At 45.6% G+C, this 25,768-nt stretch overlaps 1 long non-coding RNA gene across 3 annotated transcripts, besides 7 other annotated features; it reads left to right on the top strand.

The window, feature by feature from the left end:
- Positions 152-1,351: an enhancer, noted in NCBI's record as "CDK7 strongly-dependent group 2 enhancer chr11:128491606-128492805 (GRCh37/hg19 assembly coordinates)". NCBI's record gives its function as "activates an origin of replication core promoter dependent on BRD2, BRD4, P300/CBP, MED14 and CDK7 cofactors, with strong dependence on CDK7, by STARR-seq in HCT116 cells {active_cell/tissue: HCT116}" and the evidence as "EXISTENCE:reporter gene assay evidence [ECO:0000049][PMID:35650434]".
- Positions 816-25,763, top strand: LOC105369568 (uncharacterized). Of its 3 annotated transcripts, XR_001748441.1 has the most exons (7): positions 816-1,357; positions 2,076-2,180; positions 2,288-2,358; positions 10,813-11,049; positions 15,663-16,478; positions 25,405-25,486; positions 25,663-25,763. It is a non-coding gene; the product is annotated as an uncharacterized LOC105369568 (long non-coding RNA). The 3 variants fall into 3 exon arrangements; XR_948168.2 differs by lacking the exons at positions 2,076-2,180; positions 15,663-16,478; positions 25,405-25,486; positions 25,663-25,763 and adding an exon at positions 11,371-12,677; XR_948167.2 differs by lacking the exons at positions 2,076-2,180; positions 10,813-11,049; positions 15,663-16,478; positions 25,405-25,486; positions 25,663-25,763 and adding an exon at positions 6,212-8,722.
- Positions 6,733-7,233: an enhancer, noted in NCBI's record as "H3K4me1 hESC enhancer chr11:128485724-128486224 (GRCh37/hg19 assembly coordinates)". NCBI's record gives its function as "activates a minimal SCP1, AML or CMV promoter by ChIP-STARR-seq in primed H9 embryonic stem cells {active_cell/tissue: H9 hESC(primed)}" and the evidence as "EXISTENCE:reporter gene assay evidence [ECO:0000049][PMID:30033119]".
- Positions 7,367-7,866: an enhancer, noted in NCBI's record as "H3K4me1 hESC enhancer chr11:128485091-128485590 (GRCh37/hg19 assembly coordinates)". NCBI's record gives its function as "activates a minimal SCP1, AML or CMV promoter by ChIP-STARR-seq in primed H9 embryonic stem cells {active_cell/tissue: H9 hESC(primed)}" and the evidence as "EXISTENCE:reporter gene assay evidence [ECO:0000049][PMID:30033119]".
- Positions 10,993-12,642: a transcriptional cis regulatory region, noted in NCBI's record as "chr11:128480315-128481964 region (GRCh37/hg19 assembly coordinates) targeted for CRISPR interference". NCBI's record gives its function as "positively regulates ETS1 gene expression in GM12878 lymphoblastoid cells {active_cell/tissue: GM12878}" and the evidence as "EXISTENCE:mutant phenotype evidence [ECO:0000015][PMID:33828297]".
- Positions 11,836-12,379: an enhancer, noted in NCBI's record as "H3K4me1 hESC enhancer chr11:128480578-128481121 (GRCh37/hg19 assembly coordinates)". NCBI's record gives its function as "activates a minimal SCP1, AML or CMV promoter by ChIP-STARR-seq in naive H9 embryonic stem cells {active_cell/tissue: H9 hESC(naive)}" and the evidence as "EXISTENCE:reporter gene assay evidence [ECO:0000049][PMID:30033119]".
- Positions 12,256-12,375: an enhancer, noted in NCBI's record as "active region_5729". NCBI's record gives its function as "activates an Ori minimal core promoter by ATAC-STARR-seq in GM12878 lymphoblastoid cells {active_cell/tissue: GM12878}" and the evidence as "EXISTENCE:reporter gene assay evidence [ECO:0000049][PMID:35858748]".
- Positions 19,757-19,836: an enhancer, noted in NCBI's record as "active region_5728". NCBI's record gives its function as "activates an Ori minimal core promoter by ATAC-STARR-seq in GM12878 lymphoblastoid cells {active_cell/tissue: GM12878}" and the evidence as "EXISTENCE:reporter gene assay evidence [ECO:0000049][PMID:35858748]".
- Positions 25,764-25,768: the final 5 nt, after the last annotated feature.

The following is a 25,768-nucleotide window of genomic DNA, read 5'->3' as shown; positions in this document are numbered from 1 at the left end:
TCATCAAGAAGGAAAATACCAGTTTTGCTTTTTAGGAGGCATGCTTTTAGCTTTATCCTAAGCTGCTATTATCATTTGGGGATAGATCAAGACACAGACACAAGAACTCAAGTGGCTGGTGATCAGGGCCACCCGAAGGGAGTGTGTCCAGGGAGTCACCTCTACAGCATCGCTGACTGTGTTCACGTCCACACAAGAACATTCTTCATAAGACCCCAGCTGGACCTGTGCTCACCTGTGGGTCGGGCGATGCCGCCCAGCACAGATATCTGATGCCTGGAGCTCTTCCCCTCCTGGTCTGGTGTCTTGGCTGCATTGCCTCCCTCTTCCTCTCTTCTTCTAATCGTCATCCATTCTGATCTCTCCCTCTTTTAAATCTGAATTCCTTCCTGTTTGGAAATAAGAAACCTTTAGGGCTGATAGACTTAGTGAATAATGAATAAGTGTGTTTCCTTACTCCATCATTGATGAGATATCCCTACCACCCTGCCCTGCCATGTGATTGTCAGCTGCTGAAGAATGTTAAAACCTAGAAAGGAATCCAAGGGTGAAATCAGTTGCTGGGGAGGGGAAGGTGGAGTTTCAGCTAAGACCCAAGGCTTGCAAGACAGGAGTGTTGTGGGAGGGACTCGTGCTGAGTGACCTCTGAATCTGGCCACCTACGAGTCCACGCTTCTCCCTCCTCAGCTTCCTCTCGGAAGTGCCTTGGGGACCGAACTTCCTGCTCCAAGCTCTTTGCTGTCCGTTCATCTGCCCCAAGAACATCCCTGGAACTCCCAGCGTGTGGCTTCTTGGAAACACACGTGTGGCATTTCCTCAAGGCAAAAGCTCTGTATTTCCCCAGGCTCCGACACGTGTCATGGCCAGAAGGAGGGATGCTGGGTTGGGTCCTGGAGCTCCCTCTGCGAGAGAAGTTAAGAAAGTTTACAGCTTTGTCTTGAGACATTTGCTGAAGTCATGTTTCAAGAGGCAAATCACATCTGCTGCAACATGAACCGACCACCAGGCAGTAAGATGCACAGGTTCTCAGGCTCTGAGACCCTATGGGAAATTGCCTATAGGGCCCCACAGCCTGGGAAACTGGCCTAGAGGTTTTATGAAGTGACTAATATCCTACAGGGAACAGCCGGGTCCCAGGACTTGCATCATGGTCAGCAGACCGGCCCCTCTCTGAGCAACACCCTTGGGATTATTCACGTCCATCTGGAAGAAACTAGTCTCTGAGTTTGATTCAGGACTTCTTTCTCTTTCCCACCTCTTACCCCAGCCATGTAATTTGCACATCGTTTTATATTTTCTATTGGGAAATCACAAAGCATCTAAAAGGCAAGCAGTGGTTCTCAAGCTGCAGCCAAAGGTATGTGTGTGGGGCCAGGGGAGGGGGAAGCGCATTGCTGTTGAGAAAAGGGAGGGAGGGAGAGAGATTGACAGAGAGAGAGAGGACATGGGAGAAGGGGCCAGGAAGCTGGGTCTTTCCGGTTTGACACTGTAATCTTACACTTGATGATCCTGTCGCATTGGATACTACATGACAAAATTCAAATGAATTTACTTTTAAAAATTTGGATGATAGAATTGGGTGAAATCTTGCCACAGACACAAAATGTTTTTTTCTCCATTTGGGAGCATTGGCTGGCAGAGATGTTTTATGTCTAGATATTTCACAGGCTTAGCCAAGCATGGGGTCCTGCTTGGTGACTGTTTTCCGTAGCGTGAAGGATCTCCAAATCCCTCATCATTCTGAGCTCCCCAAACACTGAATTTTACCCTGCCAGCCGGGGCACCTGGCAAGTGGGTAATTGTCTAAGATTTGGTTATTCTTTCTTCTGCAATGGGGGCAGGTAACGATTGGGGCTAGAAGAGGCCCAGGAAGAAAGAGAGAGTTGGAGTGGATATACCTGGGATTTGATGACACCAAAATGATTTTAAATCCGGATTTCTTGGCCATACCACTTCATTAACAATTTGAGATCCAGTTTCTTCCTGTGAAAAATGTCAGTGTTTCTGAGTGTCTAGTATGTTGCATTGCATGTGGTAATTGTTCAATAAATACAGCCATTATTATGATTTACTAGGATCAGCTTGTTTTACTCAAGTGAAACCAGAACCCAGGCTGGAGCCTCGCAGAGAGGAGGGATTTGGAAAATACTCCTTGAGTGGAATTCAGTGATTTGTTTAAGGTGACAAGCCTAGAACCCAAGTCTCTGGCCCCCAATACAGGACTCTTTAGAAACAGTTTCACCTTGCTCATTCTCTGAACTGGTTTGCTCTCTGTTTTCAATAACAGAAACACCAGAGGCTTTCGCACAATCCCTTTTTCCTGAAGCCAACTCTGCTGAGGATGTGATGTGGATACGGGTAAGTTAGCTCAAGTTGCTGCCCCAGAACAGCTGGCTTCTCTGACTGAAGCCCGCTGGGTTGGAGCAGCTGGAGGCTGAGCTGGAGGTGGAGGAGAAGAAGGAAAAACGTCCATCCAGAAGAGGAACTGTCAGATAAAGCTCTCTCCCCTGTAGGCCTGGCGAGAGGTTGATAAGCCATCTTCAGAGATGTGCAGGGAGTGTCTGCCTCTGTTTCCGTGCAAAATCATGACTCAGGAATATTGTTCACATCCTCAGGATAGCACAGGGGCTAAAAATAAATCAGAAATGCCACCCAAAAAGACCTGATGAGGGGGCAGTGGCGGTGGGAAGCTTCAGAGAGTCTAAAGCAAGGAGCCCAGATGGACGGGTGCCTGTGCAGGTGGGAGAAGGAAGAGAGAAAGAAGCAAAGAAGACAAGGAGGCTGGCTGTGTGCTGGACCAGGGGCACATAGAAAGGGAGGGAGAGATGGAGTCAGACAGAATCTGATACAGGAGAGGCAGTGCAGGAAGGACAGTCCTGAGCAGGAGATGGTGTCTGTGGCACCGTGGAGCTGGCATTTGAAATGGCAAAACAGGGTGGGTGCTTAGCGGGAGCCTCCCCACCGCTCAGCCCTGCACCGCCTCTGTCCTTCTGGGTGATGCCATATGTGTCTTTAGTTATCAGCTCCATGCTGGTGACCCCAGATCTTCATCTCTGACCCTGATCTCTGCCCCAGGGTTGGTCCATGATCTTCAGCTGCTCTAACAGGGACTTTCCAGCCTTGTTCTGGGAAGTCCTCGAGATCTGAGTGTGAGGGTGGGGGGCTGAGGGCTAGGGCTCATAGTGCCTCTACTTTCAAACCAGGGCAGCTCCCTTTAATTTATTTTGTATATTGGGTTTCCTCAAAAGTGACCCCTTCCCCATCTGTTTTCCTGGCCTCCCCCAGCCCTGCCTGCCCTTCTGCAGAGACTGCCCCTGCCTTCACCCAGTCACTCAGACCCAGGAGCCAGCTTTCCACCGACACTCCCAGTCCATGCTACTGCTCAGAAATGCTCGGACTTGGCATTTTCTCCCCTGCCTGCGGTGCACCCCTCAGTCCCATCCTGCCCAGCCTAGGCTGCTGCGGCCCCTGACTTGCCTCCCTCCCCTCTTTCCCTTCCGGGCTGTCCACCACTGTTGGATTAATCTCTCCCCCACCTACACTGTTTTGCCGCTCACCTTTCAAAATCCTCCACTGGTGCTCTTTGGCCTCTCATGGACGTCCCCTGACAAGAACTCAAAGGCCCTCCTTGCCCGGTGCCCTGCATGTCCGACCCATCTCCCTGACCAGCTGCCCCCTATACAATCCGGGTGCACCCTCCCTCAGGTTTGCTTTTCTTTCCCCACCCAGGAATACCCTCCACCTCATTTACCCATCCTTTGGTCGTCTTCAACTCCAGCCTTTTCTACTTCCTTCTCCAAGACTCCCCTACTTATTTGAGCTCATTCCTTTTCCTGAACACTTGCCATCTTTGCAGTCTGGGATGCAGAGCTAAAATTGGCTGTACGCAGCCTAACTCAATGGTGAGTGCAGAGCCTGGACTTGCTCTCTGCATCCCCTGATGCTACAAATGCTGCTCCCAGCACCCAGCTGGGTCCTCCGGCTCTGTTTCCATGGTGCCCACCTTCCTTCACTCCCCACCTTTCCTAAGGCACAGTGGGCCTCCTCTGCCCGACTCATTTTGTTCCTGAGTCACTGCACGTCTTAGGTGGTTTCACGTACGCAGGCCTCAACTTTACATGTATGCAGGCCTATTGCTTTCGGTCACTCTCAGCTTCCAGGGCGGTCTTTGTGTCCCCAGCCTTTCTGTTTTTTCATTGGCAGTGGAGCTGCCTAGGCCCATTCTTATCTTTACACTTTAGCCATAGCAGCCTCTTTGTGGTTGAGGCAGGCCAGGCTTCCTCCAACCAGGGCTGCCTACCAGGTCCGTGCCATCCCTTTCCATCGTCTCTGGGCTCCTCCTCCTTGCTCCTCAGCCTCTTCCTGAAAGTCACTTCATAGGAGATGCTTTCCCTGACCTCCCAGGTGGAGCCAGGTGGCCTGTTCTGTGCTCTCAGAGCCTCCTGTGCTTTTCTGCCACAGAGCTTTTCGCAAGCTCAATCCCCCATCTCCCTGCAGGCCATATGCACCACTGGGACGGGGGCCTAGGGGGTCTATGTTGCTCTCTGCCCTGATCCTAGCACTGAGTACTATCTAGTATAGCTCAGGTCAGAATATAAATTTGTTGAAAAACTACAGTAGAAGTGCCTTGGATTCGGGAGTGCAGGGCCAGTTGGTACTGGACCCAGGGATCCTGCCTTTCAAACACACTACTGGTATCCTGACATCACTTTCCACTGCTGCCTTTTTTTTTTTCATGTTGAGCCAAGGGTCAGCTTGGAAAAGACATTGCTGTCCCACTACCTTCTCTCCCATTCCTTGCAATAAAAAAGAAATCTCTGGCTAAAATTCTCTACTCCTCCAGTATTCATAGAGCCCCTTCTCCACCTCCTACCTCCCATCCCTCTCCCCGCCTCCCCCAGCCGGGGCACAGATTGGAGGCAGCAGACAAACGCAAAGACCACACCTCTGCCGACCTTGTGCTTCTCATCTCTAAGACAGATCTGGAGGCAAAGCTGGAAATCAGGAGGGAAGAGAAGCAGCCCCCCACACACAGCACAGAGCCTGGCGGGGAGTAGGGTTGGGACCCCTGAAAGAGACCTGTGGAGGATCAGTCACGTTGGATGAAAGAGCCCCCTGCATTCATTTGTCCATCCACCCAACCAGTGACCCCTGAGTGCCAACCTGGGGCGTGAGACAAACCTACTTTCTCATAGAGCTCGGGCTAGTGGGGAACTCAGGCACTACAGAGGCCCACAAACCACAGCTTGCAAAGAGATTTTGCGGCTATGAAAGGGGCAGCTGGGGTCCCAGGCTGGAGAATCGTGTGCCCCTGCCTTGGCCCAGGAGGTGGAGGACAGGAATAAGGTGAGTTATAGATGCATCTCACTGCCTACCTCCATTCCGCTCACTATTCCATCTTTGGTGACTTTGGTGACTTTTCTCTTTTAGTCATCTCAGAGCCTCTCTCATGTATTCACATCCCCATTTTCTGCTTTCCACATTCTCTCAGCTGCTCCTTGTCTATCCTAACCCTAGAGACCTAGAGGCTTCCTTTTCTTTCATGCTTGGCTTTTCCCAGTGAAAGCCCTGGAGTCCCTAATCTCCCTTTCTCCCCTAATCATCACCCTTTCTCCCCTAATCACCCTTTCTCCCATAATCACCAGACCTCATAGACTTGGGGGCTAGAAGAAAACTTCAAAGTAAACATGCCTGGTCTCCTGGCCTTCTGGACCTACCCCTTCTTCCCCAATTCTCTCCCTCATTCACCATCACTCCATTCTTTCCTCTCCTCCCTCTGCCTCTCTCCACCTCCTGGTGCTGCTATCCCATCTGCCGGGCAGGATGATGAGTGGTCTCAAGTCAGGAAGGAGAGCCCCTCCCCTGGGCAGCTCCTCTTCCCAGGCACACGGAAAGACCTTGCTTTGGTCATTGCCTTTCTGATATGGGGCAAGTTGATTAGCCATAGTTCTGTGGTTGTCACTTCATCCTTCCCTGCTTTTGTCCTGTGCTTCTTTGTTCTGTCAAACTCACAGGAGAAGGAAGTAGGCAATTTACTGTTTTTCTGGAGAAAGGAGAATGCAGGGAAGTGAGGACCCAGAGATGTTTGGGCTGTGCTTTTTGATACATGGTCTGCGGCTTTGTTAGATCCCCCTCCCTTTCTTTCTTGATGCAAAATGCTTTAGAAGGAGGAAAATTGCATTTAATGTTTGAGTATTCTCTTTCTCCACAGATGTCCGGGAAGCTGGTGTCGGTGGCGGGCTGTGTTCTCAGGCCCAGGGACGCTGTGGCAGGGACTGGATGGGAATGCAGCAGGGCCGTGTATTAGCTGTGCAGCCTTGGGAAAAGTACTTCATTGTTCTGAGCCTCATTTTCTTATTTGTCTGTTCTGATTGCCTTTCAGTGACACCATAGAGATTATTTTTCAGCTTGCTCCTCTGTGAGGATCAAATCTATTGAAGTATCTAAAGTACCTGGCACAGGGTCCTGCACATACACCTCATTTAAATGATCAAGTACATACTAAGCAGCTCATGTTCAATTCTGAAAACTGTCCTGGGCCTGGGCCATGTGTTCGGAGTGTGGAGAAGAGGGAGCCAGTATTCCCCTCCCCTGGTCAGGGGGCCTGGGTCTGCGCCAGAGAACAGAAGGGCCGGCAGCCAGGCCTCTGTCCCCAAGAGCTGGGGCGCACATTAAAGCCTGTCATGGCTCAGGAACTGGGCCCGCTGCGCTGGGCATCTGGATGTTCTTAGATCTCTGTCTGGATTCCTTCTGCTTGTCTTGTGGAATTACTTATCAGCAGCAGGCAGACCAGACCCTGGGCTTTCCTCCCCACATGGCCCAGCCCCAGGCCTTCCTATCCGTAAACACTAGTGCAGGGGATGGGGGAGTTGCTTCAGGACCTGTGGATGAGGCTTCCCTGTGTGCTCCTCGGCCCCCTACGGCAGCTGCTGCTGTCTCTGTACAAAAGCAGGACCTCCAGCCTGTGCCCAGCTGCCCTCAGCAACCTGCATCTTCAGATGAGAGATGTGTAGGAATCAGAAGGGAATTTCAAAATTATTTGAAAAGTGTGACTGTTGAGGGCTGTCACTTGTATCTACTCCCTGGACCATTTTTCCCCCACAATACTCCTGTTATCACCCCCTTCCCTCCAGGGTTGATTCCACTTTTCTTTGGTTAGACCCATGGTGACATCCCTTTGCGCTTGTGAATCCGAGGGTGGAGGCGGGTTGGTGTTGGAAACCATGCCCGGCCTTTGCAGTTCTGTCCAATCAGCAATTCTAGGCAGGAATTTCAGGGATGCAGGGAGGGAATTACCCCTGAATAGGAAACTTCTGGAGATAGAGGCCTTTGGGCAACCCTCGGATCCCTCTGAAATTAGCATGTTGATGCTTGGTCCTCGTCTTGTTTTGCTATTCTTGGTGGCAGGTGATGCCATCAGTCTCGCTCTCTTGCTGTGCTTCCTCAGTGGGCCTTTGGACTGCCACTCTCCCTGGCTCTCCCTCCTGCTTCTCTGGTCCCTACTCAGCCCCTTCTGCTGGTTCTCGGTCTTCTCCTCAATCTCTTAGCTTTGGGGTGTGCTTGGTTCTCTGTCCTTTATTCTCTTCTCCTCCAGTCTGTGGGCTTCAGAAGGCATCTATGTGCCAGTAACTCCACATTGTAACTCCAGCCCCTGTAACTCCACTCCCTCTGACTCCACACACAGGGAACTCACAGGACAGTCATCTCGGAATTCACACGGCCACAGCTGAACGCCTGGTCTCCGCCACACAGCGGCTCATTACAGTCCTCTCCTGCTCTGCAATTTCCCTTCCAGGCTCCCAGTTTCTGAGGCCAACGCCCCTGCGGTGGTGCTCCACACCTCTCTGTTTCTCACAACTCACATTCGTCAGCGAAGCCTGTTGGATCTGCTTACAACTCTCTGGGGCAGCCAGCGGCTTCTGGCTCCTCATGGCCCCCCTGCCAGGATGAGCCCCGGCTCTGCCTCCCTGGGAGTTCTGCAGTGGCTCTGTCGCCCTTCTCAATACCTTCTTGATGCTATTCCTGCTTTCCTGTCAGCTGCGTGTCCTCCAAAGAAGCCAGAGCAGAGAGACCATGATTCTCTTCTTTCCTCCCCGTCTTCAAATCTTTTCTCAAATACCAGCTCTTCAATATGCCTGCCTTGACCACTCTGTGAGGTGGCAGCATGCTCCTCCGCCCCTCCCAACTCCCATCTGCCCAACTCCAGGACCCTACTCAATGCCCATTGCAGTTTCTTTTGCTCATGGTTTGTCGTCTGTCTTCCCTCACCAGGTCGCAAGCTCTACTTTGAGTCTCAAGAGCCTTGTGACACATGGCAGGTGCTCTGGAGTGGACACAGCACTGCCACTTTTGACAGCTGTCCCCTTTGTCACCCTCAGGTTGTGACCCAAATGTCCCTTCCTCAAGGACGGTCCTGGGCAGAGCCGGCCCCCCCTCTGCCACCCTACTGCTCTGTCCCAGCACCATCTTTCAGAGGTCGTCATCAGCACTTGTGAATGCACATTTGCCTCATGCTCACGTGTTTATTGTCCGTCTCCTACACCCGCACCCCCAGTCACAGTGTTTACTTCATTCTCTAGGGTCTTCCTAGTGCTTGGCATAGACCTGCACGGAATAGACATGAATTAAGTAAATATTTGTTCACTAACTGGGAAGCACTTTATATATACTCTTGTATTTGATGATCACAGCCATCCTGTAAAATGAGTATTATTTAAATGCCTATTTTTGTAGCTATTGTTGTTGTTGAAAGAATCTGAGGCTCAGAGAGGCTGAGCAATTTCCCCTTAGACACAAAGCGAGGTGGAGGAGCCAGCCTGGAGGCTGGGGCTGTCTGACTGGGGGGTGTGAGTGAGGAAGCGAGTGTGTGTGCACGCACGCATGAGGCTCTGTGCTCTTGCTCCAGCACTGCACTGTGCAGAAGGCTGCCTCCCCTCTATGGAGTGCTGTCCGTGGCTGCCTTCTCTCCTTATCCCTAGATTTAAGCCCAGACAGAAGCCTGCTCTGGAGGGCCCGATGCCCATTACTGTGAGGTCTCAGGCTGCCTGCTGCCCTCTCAGCCCTACAAGCTCCATTGCTTCCAAGAGAATGAGGGGTCCAAAGTCCTGCCCCTTTGCACACACAGCATGAGGGCTTGGGTGAATTTTAATATTGCATGGCACCCACAGCCACCTGAGCCCCCTCTGAATCTAGAACCCATCCCTATCCAGGACTCACAGCTGCCGTGGTCTCACTCAGTCACGCAAGCCCACCATGGGCACAGCTGAGACGGCCCAACCGTCCTCCCCTTTCCTTCCTACCCACAGCAGGTGTCTTGGTCATGTCTGCCTCCCCCAAGGAATGGACTGGTCTTTTCTACAGGAAGGGAAGGGTGAAGCAGAAGCAAAAAGAGGGCTCCCTAAAAGCAGTTGGGGAGGACCCAGCGGGCTGCACTCCCAGGCCAAATGCAAAGTGCCCTGAACCTGCCGATGAAGGACAGGTGAAGATGAACACCATGCCCAGAGCCCACTGCCAGACCCAGCTGTGCCTGCTGTTCCAGCTGCCTAGCCACAGCACGGCAAGAGCAGCAGCAGGCCCTTGCCAGGGAAGCTTGGTCTGCTTCCTGGGGTTCAGGGACCACTCCACGTGTGTCTTGTGCACATCACAGCCACAGCTATGCTTGCTGGAGCACAGCAGCATAGAGAGGCTGGGCAGGAGGGCTGGCTGGGACAGGAGCCTGGGACCAGAAGTTGGGCAAACCCAGAGTCTTACTCAACTTTGTTGTTATTGCATGGTCCAATATAATATTTGAAAACTGGGGGCTGATCTTTCATCTCCCTGGATAGGCAGGATGAGAACCAAATGGCAAACTGACTGAATTCATTTTAAAATGGTCATCTGTGAAACTTTCCCCCCAGTTACAATATTGGATGCAAGCATTTTGGCCCACCTGATGCCCCATTCCTTTCCTCTTCCTGGCTGAGCTTTTGCTTATACTAGTAGCTGACATGCTGTGCTCATCTGAGGCACTATGCAGGTCCAAGCTCTGGTCTGGGAGTCTGTGCGTGGCTGCCAGGAAAGAGTGAGGGGTAGGTTTTGAATGGGGTGGGAACGCAGGAGCTATGAGCACAGCCCAAGCTATTCATTACTGCATCCCAAGTTCACACACACGCACACACACACACACACACACACACACACACACACACGGAGTTAATTTGCAACAGGCAATCCCTAAAGCAGCCCATTCAATGCTATTCTATCAAATAAATATAGATCTATAAATAGACCTCACATTTTGCTTCAAAAAGTGACAAGTGTGCAGAAATAATTTCACAAACAAGCTAAAATGTTGGCAGGCTTTGCATCCTTTGCTCAGATGTTGCGTGCATCTCCTAGATGATGCCTTTTTGAGCAAATTTGCACCATGTCTTCTGGTAGCAGTAGCGTTAAGTGAAGGTTTTTTTCACTGTTAGTATATTTTTCTTTACCTTAACAGTTTTTTGGCTTTGCTGTTTTGGGTAAAATATTAATCTTTTTTTCTTTAAATTAAACTCTTCTCAGAGTGCTACTAATACAAACTGGCATGAGATAGAGAAAGGAAGGAAGGAAGGAAGAAGGGAAGGGAGGGGGGGGACGGAGGGATGAAAGGAAAAGACAGAGGGAGAGAAGGAGGTAGGAAAGAAAAAGAGAAAATGAGTGAACATCTCTCTTGTCATGATCATTACTTGGCTATGTTCAGAGAAAATCCACAACGAGAAGGACATGTTCACTCCCACTCCTCATTTTGCTCTTGCAATTATAGACCTGGTATCCACCTAACTGTATCCACAGATTACAGGGACCATCCTCCATTGTTTTATGAGTCTATCACAGATTATGACGGACATGGAACATGGAAACCAGTTTCTACCAAAGCCTGTGAGGACCATTCTGTACAAATTGGGAGAGAGTGCACAGAAGCCTGGAGAGCTGACCGGGGAGGAGGGCCACAGTGCATTGCGTCCAGCCCTCTTCCACCCTTGCACTCTTAGCTGCTCTCATCCCCGTCTGCTCACACCTTGCTTACAGGTGGGTTCATCTCCATTCTGAGCCAGCTCTGACAACGGCATTGAATGTTTGATGACTTTGTCCCCGTCACCCATTTTAAGACAGTATGAAGTCCTGGGACCCAAAGCATGTGCCATGTGAGACCTATAGATATGCACCACAGATACACTCCCTGTGCTCTGGAATCTCTCAGTCGTGTGTCCCTTCACCTGTCGTGCTGGCCTCTTACTCCTTGGCATCAAGAGGTTGCCTTGGTGTTTTTGACCTAATCCTCAAGTTCACTGTACAGACTGAAGTCTTATCCTAGAGAAAGCAGGCATTCTAAAGCCTCTTTTCTTCCAGGGGCTGGATCCAGTTTCATGTGTCTTCAGCCCCTGACTGGGTCTTGTACACACGGACAGAGGTCTCAGTTCCAGCACTGTCATTGACTTGCGTGCCCCTCGGCCGACCTCCAGCACTGAGCTGCTCTTAGTGCCTGACTGCCTGGCCCTGAGCAGTTCCTCTGTCTGCATCATACCAAGCCCTGGCTTCCTCCTGCGGTATACAAGGCCCAGCAGTTTTTGCACTGATGCCTGCAGCCCAGACAGGGTCAGAGAGATAAAACGTCTTGCCAAAGACACTCAGCTAGTGGGAAGCACAGTCTGGACAGAACCTACTAGATCTTTCGACCTTGTGTCTGTGAGTTTTCCCCTGGACTTGCACAGGTTGCTGCAAACCCCCATGTTCTGTGCCACCTGAGCAAATAGGAGCCCAGTGAACAGCATAGACACAACATAGAGAAGGCGCAACCATACAGCCAGATGCCAGCCCACCCCCACGCCCACTCCACATGTGTGGCTGCCCCTGCCAACGTAGGACGAGACTTCTACCGGTCTCTGCTCTCTGCCAGCCCTGAGCTGCACAAACCACACCGCCCCACCACTGCAGGTGGTAATTTGCATGGGGGAGCAGAGCGTCTCCCAGGAGGCTAGGCCTATCTAAGTTTCTCTTCTGTACTTGGGAGACGAACAGCCACTTTAAAAGAGAGAAAAACAAGACACTAGTAACTCTGTGCTTGGACCCGGGCCTTTAGGTGTTTCAAAGCCTCCCGTGGCTATTTCTGGCCCCATTGTCGTCTGGGTCTGAGAGGAAGGCCTGATGGCGATTCTGTGCTTTAAAGGCAGAAACAGAACATTGTTTTTGCCAGCTTTGATTTAATGGCCAAAAACAGTTATAGGAAACTGTTCAGCAGATGTTTTATGAAACTCAGAAAAGATTGGGTCTTTTAGAAGGGCTATTTTTAGACAAATGCTTCCTACCATTGGGGGGATGGTGCTCACAAAAGGGACAGAAAATGGGAGAGAGACTTGGAGGGAGCTTTGAACATTTTGACGATCACATTTTATTTTTCCTTGCATTTTCAGCATGAATTAAACATACCTGGGAATCTTTGGAGGATCAGATAGTTGCAGAGGTAGTTCTGGGAGGAGGGGTTGACTTTAGAGTTCTCTTTCTAAAATGAGGGTTTCTTGGGTGCCAGGAAAATCTATGTTTTTCATCATTTTCCACCTTCTGATGTTCTAGCAGCACAGAAATGCTGTTTTTTCTTACTCTACTTTCTTGCCTCTCTTTGCCTGAATTAACTTTTTTCCTCTCAGCTCATCCTGACCTTCATTATTTATTTATTTATTTAATTTTTTTTTTTTTTTTTTTTTTTTTTTTTTGAGACAGAGCCTCACTCTGTCACCTGGCTGGAGTGCAGTGGCGCAATCTTGGCTCACTGCAACCTCCGACTCCCGGGTTCAAGCGATTCTCCTGCCTCAGCCTCCTGAGTAGCTGGTATTACAGGCACATGCCACCACGCCCAGCTAATTTTTGTATTTTTAGTAGAGACAGGGTTTCACCACCTTGGCCAAGCTGGTCTCTAACTCTTGACCTCAGTCATCCGCCTGCCTCAGCCTCCCAACCTGCTGGGATTACAAGCATGAGCCACCGCTCCCGGCCTCATCCTTGCCTTCTTTTCCCTCTGCCTTTTTTTTACCTATTACACTCTAAGCCGTCACTTCACACTAAGGGTAGGCATTTCCTCACTCAGGATGCTCTTCCTGAGCTCTCTAGGGTGCACTATGCTTCCCTTCCTTATCTGCTGGGCTGCTTTAAACACCGCAGCCACTCTCCTGCTTTACCATCTGTTTCTCTGTCAGCCTCATTCCCAAGGTCTGAATTCTCTTTCAGCTCTCGTCAATTAGTGCTACTTAACACAATAGTAGGCTCAGAATACATGTTTATTGAGTGAATGGATGGTTGGAGGAATTAATGGAGTGAGCAAGTTAGGGAATTTTACCTGGTTGAAAAATTTCGCTTCATCTACAAGAGCAGAAATTAATTCTTCTTATCTCTGCTGTTCAAATCAAACCCAAATCTGTTAAAGTACTATAATATAATAAAATAATTACCTACTGTGGGGTGGTTACTGCTATTTCCAGGAAACTGAGGCTCAGGGGCAATCAGATAAGAACTGGCATGTGAAAGCATCCAGATTTGGGTATGTGTCTTTTAATTCCAAGTCTCTTGTTTTCTCCACTCCACTGGAGGGAATAATTGTCTCTGGGGCAGAACTTCAAGAAACATGGGGTGCCTGGGCACAGGAAAAATCCCCTGGTAAGGGAGAGGGCACAGAAAAGGGAGATGGGGAAACTCAAATCACATGTTTTTCCTTTACTGCTATTTCTGGGGCTACATCCAGCTGGAACAAAAGGACATTGAGGCAGTCCCAGGTGGAGGCAATAGACGACTTCCAGCTTCTCCCTGCTTGTCCCGAGCCCTTTGGCCAATGCTTCAAAGTCAGCTGAGCAGACCGAAGACCAATCACTTCTAACTCTCTGGAAAGTGCCGGAAATTAGCTTAGACAGAACAAGGCTCTCACGTTATTTGACATCTCCTCCATCAGGGTCTCCTTGGTTTCTCAAGCCCTTGTTGAATACTTTCCAGAGAGCATTTTTAAGTGGCTGAAGGTTAGGTAAGTTCTGATATCTGGTAAAAGGATCATCATCGCCTGCGTGAGGTTCCAATGGCTACATCACGATGCTCTGGGCAAGAGTTTGAGAGTTTCCTGGAAGCTGAGCCCAGGCAGAGCCCTCTTTCATGTTCCATGGCCCTTCAGTGAGTGTTTCCACATCCTTTGCTTTCTTAAGCTGTCATTTTTTTTAACGCTTTCTATGTTGTCGTTACTATGCTAAGTGCACTGGAAAATGATCTCACTTCTCTTTATTTAAGGCTCCTTTTAAAAGCACATAATATAAAAATGTGTCCTTATTATTAAGGAAAATTACTTTCCTATGTGGTCAATGGCCCTAAGAGCTGAGCTCAATCCTTACTCTTGTTTGACAGATGAGGAAACTGAATTGGTTAGAAAGGTTCAGTAAATTGCTCAGTCACTCAGTAGGTGAGTGAATAGCTGGGATTCAAGGTCGGGTTTGCCTGATGCCAGAGGCCAAGCTCCTAAAGGCATCACCATCTATCTCAATTTCCTAGTGGTTTTTGACTGCAATCCCTGGGAAGCTCTGTCTCGGTGGAACTTTTCCTTTCCAATCTTCGCACACTTTTTCAGACAATCTCTCATTTAACTCTTCCCTAAATTGTCTACCATTCTCTATCTAGGACTACTTATTGCATTGCCTATTCTGACTACAAAAGTCTTGAGGCAAAGATAGAGGCATTCACTGCTAAGGTTCACAGCAAACTTAAATCTGAGTTTGAGCAGCCACAAAGCAGCCTCAAAGTGGAAGAAATGCTGAAAGAGATGGAATGTCAATGGCCTCTTGTGGTGCTTTGCTAGAAATATGAACAACGGCATATTAGAAAGAGCTGGGAAAGTATTTTTCCAGTGGAGGTAGACTTTCCTAGGGCTGCTACCAACTTACTTTATTTACTTCCTTACCTATCTGCTATAATCGAGGCATCAGTACAGAGATCAGCAAATATTTGTGGAACACTTCTGTACCAGGCAGACTGGACTAGGTTACACTGTGGTAACAAGAGCCAAACCTCAGTGGCTTGAAGCAACACATCTTACTCATGCTGCATGAACACTGGGCTGGCAGGGGGTTTTGTTCCATGGTATCAGAGTTACTCCGGGCCCTAGCTGATAAGCAGCTGTCACCTGACACGTGCCAGAGAGACAAACAGAAAGGCCGAAACTCTTCAGTGGTCCTCTAATTTTCTGCCAAGTGACCCTGTTCGAATTTCATCAGTGAAAGCACATCCTAGGACCACTCCCAATTTCAACAGGGCAGGGAGTGGGATTCTACCACATGTCCAGATAGGGGAAGAACTTGTCCAGATTAGTGAACAACTTTTGATGTGCTTAATGCTGGGTGAGGTATCGTTGAACAAATAAACATGAGTCTTGATCCTGCCCTCAAGGAGCTCCTTATGGACTTGGGGAACTAGGATTTAACACACATCAAATGGGTAAGGAACGTCATGAGTTGGTATAAAATAATGTACCCTGCCAATCCATATAGAACACACATATCGTGTTTTTCTCGTCTGATGTTTTACAAGCTTCTGCTAAAAATTCACACCATTTCTTGTTACTTACTCCTCTGATAAGCTCTTTAAGAACAGAATCTTGCTTTATCATTTATTTTCAGTTCTTATCAAATATCTGGAACACAGAAGAGCTTATTACATGTTGTGTGGATGGATTAAGCTTGCTAAGCTATTTGGAAACAGGAAGAAAAAGCATGCCCAGAATTTGGAGACCACCCATGGAAAGGCATGACCTCCACTGGGTGTTCAGGACTTGAGGTGGTCAGTATTTCTGCTCCTTCCCAGCAGACCAACTTGCTCCCACTCAGCCCCATGGCTTGCCTTCTCTTCCTTGGAAATCTTCTTACATGCCTCTTGTTGCCTGGCCATCCCAGGAAGGAAGCACCCATGTCTTCTACACTCCCAGTTGCTTAAAACAAATATGCTTCCCCTGCTCAGATAACCATTGGCAGGGCTAAGGATCCTAAAAACCATGGGTTTTTAATACCGGGAAAGTGCTACTCTGTAGGGATCCTCTAGCCCACCATTGTTTCCTTTATGGAAACTGAGGCTTGGAGAATGCAAGTGGCTCTCTCAAAGCTTCATAAAATTCACTGGGAGGTCTGGGCTGGAGTCCAGGTGTTTTGATTCATTTGTCATTGCTCTTTATAGTCTGGATTTATAGATGCATATTTCTATGTAGACTTGTTGATAAACTTTACATTGACACCTAAGACATTATATTTCCTTTTCTATCAAGACAATGTTTAAAGCAAGACAAACAACTAAAGAAAACCAAAATAATGTGGTTTACATGCTAGGAGAAGAACAGTCTTGTAGCCAACATAAATGAGCTCTCATGGAAACCTCTGCCCGCCAAGAACACTTAACCTCCACGAATGACATCTGTGCCACAAGGGTGGAGCTCGAAGTCCCAGGTAAAGCAAACCATCTCTTTAGGGTGGCATGAATGGGGCAGATTCTCATTCTCAGAAGAGGCTGCCATTATTTTATAGAAAACAGATAGGATTTGAAACCGGATCTGGCTCAACTCTCAACTGCACCTGCTTTCTGAGCTTCAGTTGTATTATCTGTAAAGTAGTATTATCTGACTGGCCTAATTCATATAGTTGTCCCACACATCAAATATGACAATGAGAGTGAAGATGCTGGATGAATCATACCCAAATATTTGTTGGTGCTAGACCCTGATTCATGGAAGGTAGCATCCCAGAGATTATTTTCTTCCTTAATCCCTGTTTGAGGCAGGGGCTGTAAGAAAGTGGAGTTATCCAAGGTCATTGGTCATGATGCTTCTTAGTTCAACCATCAGTTAATGTTCTGATGGGAAAGAGGCTAAAGAGATCAAGTGGGAGAGGGGAGCCATGGAGGACAAGGTGTGGGTCGGTTGAGGACCAAGGAGGGTGGAAAAGGAAAACAACTATCTCTCACAAATAAAGGCAGAGTTAAAATTACCTGGTGAATAACAGCAATATTCTCACTATTCTTCTCTGACAGCACTGGTTCTCCAAAAATAAACCAAGAGCAGAAAGGCAGTATGGCATGTGGTCAAGAATACAGGCTCAAGAGTCAGATTAATTCCAATTTGAATTGAGGTTGCCCTTTACTTGTATCCGTACCTGTGTGTCACCTTGGGCAAATTGTTTAACTGCTTGTACAGTCATTTTTTTCTTTCAACAAAATAGAAATAATAACACCACTTCCCTTAGTGTTGTTAAATGATATGATGCCTGTTGAATATTTAGCTCAGTGCCTGACAAGCAGTAAGCGTCTAATAAGTGTTAGCTCTTAGTATTATTAACAATGCAGCTATTAGCAGGGAAATACTTCTTGAATTTGAGGTGAGACATTATTCAACTTTGCTTTCTCCATGCAAATGAGCCCAGGAATCCTTTGCACATTCTCTTTCCCTCCCTTCCTGATCAACTGGCTCTTTTTCAATCTGTCTTTTTTATTTGTTTTTGCTTTTTATTGCTATGTAATTGTTCAGATATTGGGGTACATGTGATAATTTGATACATGTATACAATGTGCAATGATCAAATCAGGGTAATCGAGATATCCAGCACCTCAAGCATTTATCTTTTCTTTGTGTTGGGAACATTATAATTCTTCTCTTCTAGGCGTTTTGAACTATACAACAAATTATCGTTAGATATAATTTCCTTACAAAAATGCATTTAGAAAGAATGAGTTCTAGTATTCCATCAGTCTTAATTAAACATTTTATTGAGTGTATCTTAGAGCTGATCCCAGTGAAAGGCAAATGGGACAGTTAATTTGCCCATAAGGAGATTTGTAAATTAGGACCAATCTAAGAAAGTCACAAGCTGATATAATTGTTTTTATTTCTGATGGCCCTAAGGAACATGAGAGCAGGAGTAGCCAGTACTCCTAAGGTTCTATTAGGGTTGTCACAGCGACACACTTCGGCTCCCTAACAATAGATGAGATTCCAAGGTAGCCTTGTATGGAAATGCAAGCTCCACTTCCACAACGCCTCCACCTCATTGCTATAACTGGTATCATAATCAACAAGATGAGACTCTCTTTCCTGTTTTTTGAAGTAATGTTTGCTGTAACCTAGGATAAATAAACCCCGACTCAGTCCTTACACCAGGAAGCACTTTTAAGGCCTATATCCTGTCCTGGCAGGGAGATGGGATCAAATGAGAGAATGGGTCTTTCCATGGCTAACTGCTGTGACAGCTGCCGTGTTAAGAATGGCAGGAGCCTCTAAACAGCAAGCTGTCCAGTGAAAGGAGGTGGGAAGGTCCACTAGGCTATGTGGAATTTTCATTTCTGGCAGCACTGGAAAATGAGATCTCAAGGCAGCCATGTTTATTCTGATCATGTGGAAATTAAAATTAGAATAGGGGAAATTTGAACCCACCTGGTCTAGGGTATGCAGCGACTCATGACCAGAGGAGATAAGTAACAAAAAACAAAAGACAAACCATAATAATAATATAAAAATAAAGCTATTGGAATAATATTTTAGTCTGGAGGAAACATGTAGCCCCCCAACCTGAGGCAAAGCCTCAGTGGGATTGAGGATCTGGGGGCCCTGAGGGGTCACAGAGTCTCTGTAAAAGAGAAAGTAGGCACCGTGTGGGGAGGGCACATGAGGTCCAGGCCCTCAGCTCTGGGTGGGGCAGAGGCGAAGGAGCTGGGCACACTGGTCTCGAGTCCCTCCCTCTCTTGAAGATACTCCCTGAACCTGAACTTTCAGCCAAGTGGCTAGAATTTCTACTCTCTGGCATTTGTCTGCTGGTCAAAGAATGACATCTACTGGTAATGTGGTCTAGGAAAAAGTCCCTGAAGTGAGAAGGCCAAGGAATAGAATCTGGTGCTATCTATGCAAACTGGCTATGATCCAAATCAAATCTGAGCCTCAATTTCATCGTCTATTAAGTGGAGAAAATACAGCTTGTCCCACAAATTTACTTGGAGGAGAGATGATTTAAAAGCATAAATGCTTTGAACTTAGGAAGGAGTCAACACACATCTAAGAGGATTCATCTCCCTCCCTTTCAACCCCACAGTCTTGTCTCCAGTTAAGCTCTTGTGCTTGCCTTGACTATGGGGTTCTCTGGCTGCTTTCTCCAGCTATATTTTGGCAGCAGGGTGCCTGGGAAGCACAAGTTTGGCATTCAGAGAGTGTATCTAGCCCATTGCTGTGGGTGGCATAGAACAGAGCCAGGAGAATTATTTCTTTTTCGGCTCCCTTTCTCTGTTCCCAGGTCTCTCCATGGGACCATTTCCCCAGCTCCTTTCCCATATTTTGATGGAGTGTATAGGCACTGCACAGAGTTTGCCCCTTTCATAAGAACTGACCACAGGGTGTCCAGCTGTGTGGTCACCTTTCTTTTTCTTTCTGGCCTGGCAGGAGGAGAATGGACCTTGGGCAGATTTTAAAGCCATTTCGGTAAAACTGATGCTGCAAGTCAATGAGAAGCCTGCACTCAGCTTTCCAGGCAGGGTTTGCCAAAGAACAAAGATCCGATTCATACTAACTCATTGACTGCCTTATTTGTAATTTCCTCCCCCACCCCCTTAATATTATAAATGCAGGCAACCAGGAATGCAGGCTTCCCAGATGAGGATTTGCACAAATCAGTTTTGTTTTGCATTTTCTGTATATTTCCTATCCACCCACTTCCCCAACCCAATATAACCCATGGAAACAACATCACTGCAAGGGTAGAGGAACCGGGGTGGCCCTTGTCTAGAAGAAAGGAGAGCCATGTGTATGGAGGATGAGGCTGGCTCTTTAGGCCTCTGCAAAGAAGGCTCCCCATCCTCCACCCTGCCACCTTGGTGTTTTCAAGGTGTGCTGTGAGTTGTGTGGGTGTCTGGCTACAGAGTGTTCAGTAAGTCAGCAGTTTCCTCAGAAGATCTTCATGCAGAAATTTGATTCTACCATAGGGAGCATTGAAGCTGCTGACTTAGAAATCATACAGAGTAATTTAAACATTTGGCACATTTATTTGCATGCCAGAAATGTGTAAAAACTGCCCGGCTCTTGTCCGTAACTCCTGGCTTATCGACAGAAAACGACCACTGGCAGGGTTTCCTATAGCTCAGGATTTGAACACCTCATCTCCTTGGGACTCAAAGGAGCAAAATTATGGGCAAGAAGCCCATTGAAGTGTAGGAAAATTGAGGCATAAAAATTTATTAAAAGATTTTTATGCAATTATCCTGTTTCTTTTGATTCCAAATTCTATAATATTTCCAAAGGTCTTCATAGCCTCTTTGTAAACCATCTCAGAAAAAGAAAGCCAGATTTTCATGAAAAAAATTTTGTGGTCTGATTTGTCTCATCCCAACATAGCAAGTGTCATAGGAGAAGTGGCTATGGGCCAGCAGTTTCCAATACAAATAATCTCTTCTTTTAAAAAGCAGATTAAAAAATATATAAAATTTATTTAATTAAAAAAAGAACAGAATATTATGAAAATGTGGAAGTTAACATTCCCATACTACAGTTGGTCAAAAGGTAACCACTTAAACCATTTAAACCACTCTCAAAAGGTAACCACTTAAACCTTTTCTGTTTTTATTATTTAGTAGTTAATTCCATATTTTATGTATTTCCACCTCTTGAAATATATACTTATATATACTTTTTGATATAATTACTTTAAACCATATCAATGAACCATCAGTACAAGACATAAAATGTAGCTCAATTACTCTACACCCACCCCCATCAATTTCCAAATCTTTAAGTTATTTTTAAAAATTTTAGTTTTCATTTAGCTATTGTTATAACTTTAAATAATATACTTTAATTTTTATTTCTTGATCCATCATCTTTAGATAATATATCTGATTTCATGTCATGTAAAATGTAGAAATTAGCACCCCCATATTTCTTTCTACTTTTTTACATACATCTCCAGTTACTAATATCATCAACATTAGATTTACATTTCATTTTGTAACCTAAGTTAAGCCATTCATACTTTGACTTTAAGTTGATTCTAAAGATTAAAATCTCATTTAAGATAATTATGTATTCATATTAAGATAATTCACCACAGAACCAACTTGTATAACTAGACTTTACAGAATAAGGTATAAATATGTGTCACTAAACTTGTGTACTGATAAAAAATACTCCAAGTTTTAAGGTCAAGTGGACTCTCTTTCTTATACATTATGAATTGGTTAAAATCAGACCACATTCTAGTTTTTTTCATATCATTTTCTTTCATAGCTTTTTGTTTTCCCTGGTGTTTCTAATAGCTTTTCTTCTTCCTGTTAGTTGAAGCAGTTTATGACCTCACCTTTCATCTAACGTTTTAATAATTATTTGCTATGGGATAATCTACCTTCTTTCAAAGATAATAGACAATTTGCTATTCTAATTTGGATGACTTCTTTTAATGCCTCTTGTATATCTGTCTCCTGGATAAGGTTCATTGTTATCTGGATTTCATTTTCTTTTCTTTCTTTGTTTCTATTTTCATTTTGTTAAATAACATCATCTTATTTCTTTAGAAAGACTTTATGGAAGGTAAACTTTCATATTCATTGTGGGTCTTAAAATGTTTGCATTTTATTATACTAGATTGATGGTTTAAGTACAGAATTTTAGGTTCAAAATGATTTTTCTTAAAAAATTTAAAGATATAACTGTCTTACCCTTTAGTGTCCAGTGCTGCTAATGTAAAGGCTAATGCCAATCTAATTATTCTCATTCTTTTGTAGGTGACTTTCTAACTTTTCTCTAAAAGCTTTTTGTATTTTCTCTTATCCTTGGCTGAAACTTCAGTTTTTTTTTTTGTTTGTTTTTGTTTTTTTTTTTTTTTGAGACGGAGTCTCGCTCTGTCGCCCAGGCTGGAGTGCAGTGGCGGGATCTCGGCTCACTGCAAGCTCTGCCTCCCGGGTTCACGCCATTCTCCTGCCTCAGCCTCCCAAGTAGCTGGGACTACAGGCGCCCGCCACTACGCCCGGCTAATTTTTTGTATTTTTAGTAGAGACGGGGTTTCACCGTTTTTTAGCCGGGATGGTCTCGATCTCCTGACCTCGTGATCCGCCCGCCTCGGCCTCCCAAAGTGCTGGGATTACAGGCGTGAGCCACCGCGCCCGGCCTGAAACTTCAGTTTTAAGATTGGTGACTTTCTTCAGCTCTCATAAATTTTCTTCTAATATTTTTCCCTTTTATTTTCTCTCTTTTTTGGAAACTTCATGAAGTAAATGTTGGCTATCCTGGATTAATCTTCTATGTCTCAGCTTACATTATTTCACATTTTGTATTGCAAACTTTTGTTCTTTGTTCCAAGAGACTTCTTTGACATATTTTTCAGTCGTGTTATTGAATTTTTATTGGGCAATTTTATGTTTTTTAGTTTCAATAATTCTCTTATTCATCATTCAATTGTTTAGTAAATGTTTGTTGAGCTCTTCCTTGCTTCTTGGTATGTGCCAGGCACTCTTCTAGACCTGGGGAAAAAGCAATGAGTGAACCCACAAAGTCTCTTTCTGCCCAATGAGGGGGAAGACACACAGTGAACAAATAAGTGAGCAGACACATGGTATGTCAAATGGCGATAAGTCCTATGGAGAAAAATAAAGCAGAGTAAGGTGGGTAGGGAGTGCTATGGATGGGGATGGAGGCTTTATTTTATATAAGATAGTTAGGCAAGACCTCATTGACAAGTTAACATTTTCATGTGACCTTCATGAAGTGAGGGAGAGAACTATGTGGAACTGCAGCTGGAAGAAGAAGTATAAAGACCTTGAGATAAGAGCTTCCTTACGCTGTGCTCCTTTTCCATAGTATCCCAAAATGGCATCTTGGGAGATTCTTAACGATATCTACAGTTTTAAAGATACTCACGTTTTGTTGCATTTGAGGATGTCATAGAATCCATCTGTAACTAACCTCAGCTCTAAAATAAAGCAAAACATATCCATATTTTCAACCAAATAAACCTATACTGAGAAGTTCCTAAGAACTTAGTTACCAAGCAAAATGCTAAGAATATGAAGATGAGTAAAACATAGTCATCACTCTGAATGTAAACAATTAAGTAATGTGCACGGCAGCAATTGCTCATTGGATTTATCTATAGGGTCATCAAGAATGTGACTATCTGATCCCACAGTGGAGCTGCTGGTGGTTCTCAGAAGGGTGAAGTTAGGCAGAAAAATTTCTAAGTGCAGAAGAGACAGAGGCTGAAAAAAGATTTTGCTATAGGATCAAGTTGGAGAGGGCTTCCTAGATGGTAGTAGACATGTAAAACCCCCATGACAAGAAAAAATTCCTCATTAAGAGTTTTTATTCCATTCAATCTAGTTTCTGGAGGCCTGAGATGAGCTCAGGCATATAACTTAGTGTTCCCCCTGAGAGAGAGTCTGAGAAAGGAAGCAGTTATAAGGGAGTAGGATCGGATAAGGACTGTCAGCAAATGGTCACTAACGTATGGCTTTCCTCTAATTTTTAAAAGACTATTTGCCAAGTATGTGTGGCCTTAGATTGGAAGGGGTATGTGAGACATGGAACTCAGAACTGGATGCAGAATCTAAAGTTTGAGGTCTAACACTGGTGGATTAGCTTTGGTCAGATTATTCTCACATCTACCCGACTTTGAAAAAATTAATTATATGGCATTTCTAAATGCCATGAATATTGTGAATATTGTTGCATTGGCTGCATTGTGCCAAAGTTCGTCTTCTTATACTTTCCATCAACTGGGCTTAGTCTGATAATCTGAAAGAAAACACTTCCTCTTCTACATTACAGCCCTTCACCTATTTAAAAGCAGCATTAAAAATCATTGTAGTGAATTCCCAGATTCTTACTGGGATAGAATGTTAGCTGTTGTCTGGTCCAGTGCAAGAAACTTTTCTACAGCATCTCTGCTAGCTGGTCTTATAGCTCTGTTTCAACTTATTCAGTGCTTTCCAGGCACTCATTTTGTTTTTGAATGGCTCCAAATATTCAAAAGCTCTCTAAATGTTCAAAAGCACTTCACCATTTTGATCTGAAATAGGCTTCCCTGTAGTGTTTATCTACTGATCCAAGTCCTATGACACTTGTCTATTATGAGGCAATTTCAGTTCCAACAATGAAATATTATAACAGGCTGTTGCAATGAGACAAGGCAGGATTCATCTGAGCTATCATAAACAAAATCTCCAATTTCTTTCATATGCAAAGTGTTCTTCTTTCAAAGCATTTTCTCTCTCTATTTTCTCATTTTATTTTTCACCATCTCAATGAGAAGAGATCTTATGCTAAGAGCACAGGCCAACAGTAGGGAGTGGTGCCTAGTTCAATGAGTGTCATTGCTGTGTTTGGTAACAGTGACAAGGAGGGGAGAGAAGTAATGAAGAACAAAATGTCTCAGAAGACACTCAGTGATCTGATGTCATCGTTCTTTGGAATACTTCTTGCTGATATGTGGGAATATCAGCACCTACTGAGATAATTAAATAGCCAGGACTATTCCCACTCCCCTCCTATTTTACACCAGAATCACAGGTTTCTGGGGCCAATGGAATTCATGATAAAATAAAACATCAGAAGCTTCTTGTATCTTCCCTGTGGATGTGCTTCAGAAGACTCCGGTGAGAGATGTTGAGTCTTTCTGAGACACCCAAATTGACAGACTCCAGAGATATGCAGAGATAAAATTCAAACGTGTACTTAATCTCCCGGCCTTTGTTAGTTTCAAACCAGTTGCATTAGTAGCTTAGTTAGCCTGGGGGCAGGGAAGAATCCTTTCTTTCAAGCAACTGGCTTGAAAATTTTCTCAAGAATCCAGTTGTTGCCAGGTGGGGTGGCTCACACCTGTAATCCCAGCACTTTGGGAAGCTGAGGCGGGCTGATCACCTGAGGTCAGGAGTTCAAGACCAGCCTGACCAACATGGAGAAACCCTGTCTTTACTAAAATACAAAATTAGCCAGGCCTGGTGGCGCATGCCCGTAATCCCAGCTACTCAGGAGGCTGAGGCAGGAGAATTGCTTCAACCCGGGAGGCGGAGGTTGTGATGAGCCGAGATAGCACCATTGCACTCTAGCGTGGGCAACAAGAGCAAAACTCCATCTCAAAAATAATAAAAATAAAAATAAAAATAATCCAGTTGTGCAGGATTGCATATGGAAGTTTTAGAAAACCCCATAAATGTTTTTATGAACTACTGTATCAGACCTAAGGAATTTCTTTATATTCCAAATTGTGAGCAAATTGAGTCTTCTATCCATTTTTAGAGACTACAGTGGAAAAACCTTGTCTCTTTGATGTAGAACACAAAATCCTACTGCTCTTTTTAAAAGAGGAAAAATCAACATTTCTGTTTGAGTGTGCCTTTTATATTTCCTCCTAGTCTGCCTCTGGCTGGAGCCCTCAAGAAGGTAGAGACCTGCTTAAACCTCCAAAAGTCAATTTTCTACACCAGCAGCATACAGGTCAGATGAGTCTGGTGCAGGAGCACATGTAAAAGTACCTGCTTATCCCTGGGGCTCAAAACAGGCTCCTCGCTTTCAGTAGGAGATGGGGGCGGAGTTTGCAGAAGCAGTAGAAGAAGAAGCCAATCACCCATCTTCTGATGAAAGATAAAAGGCATCACATTTCATTGTTTCAGGGGAAAGAAAGTAGAACAAATTAAAGAGAAAACAAATCAAAGGATGAAGGGGAAGAGGAAATCCCTCTCATATGGAGCAGACATGGAGGCAAAGTTGAGCAGGTAG

This window comes from Homo sapiens, chromosome 11 (assembly GCF_000001405.40).
Source record: "Homo sapiens chromosome 11, GRCh38.p14 Primary Assembly".
NCBI lineage: Eukaryota > Metazoa > Chordata > Mammalia > Primates > Hominidae > Homo > Homo sapiens.
The sequence above is the reverse complement of the archived record's forward strand: the minus strand, read 5'-3'. Positions and strand labels throughout refer to the sequence as shown.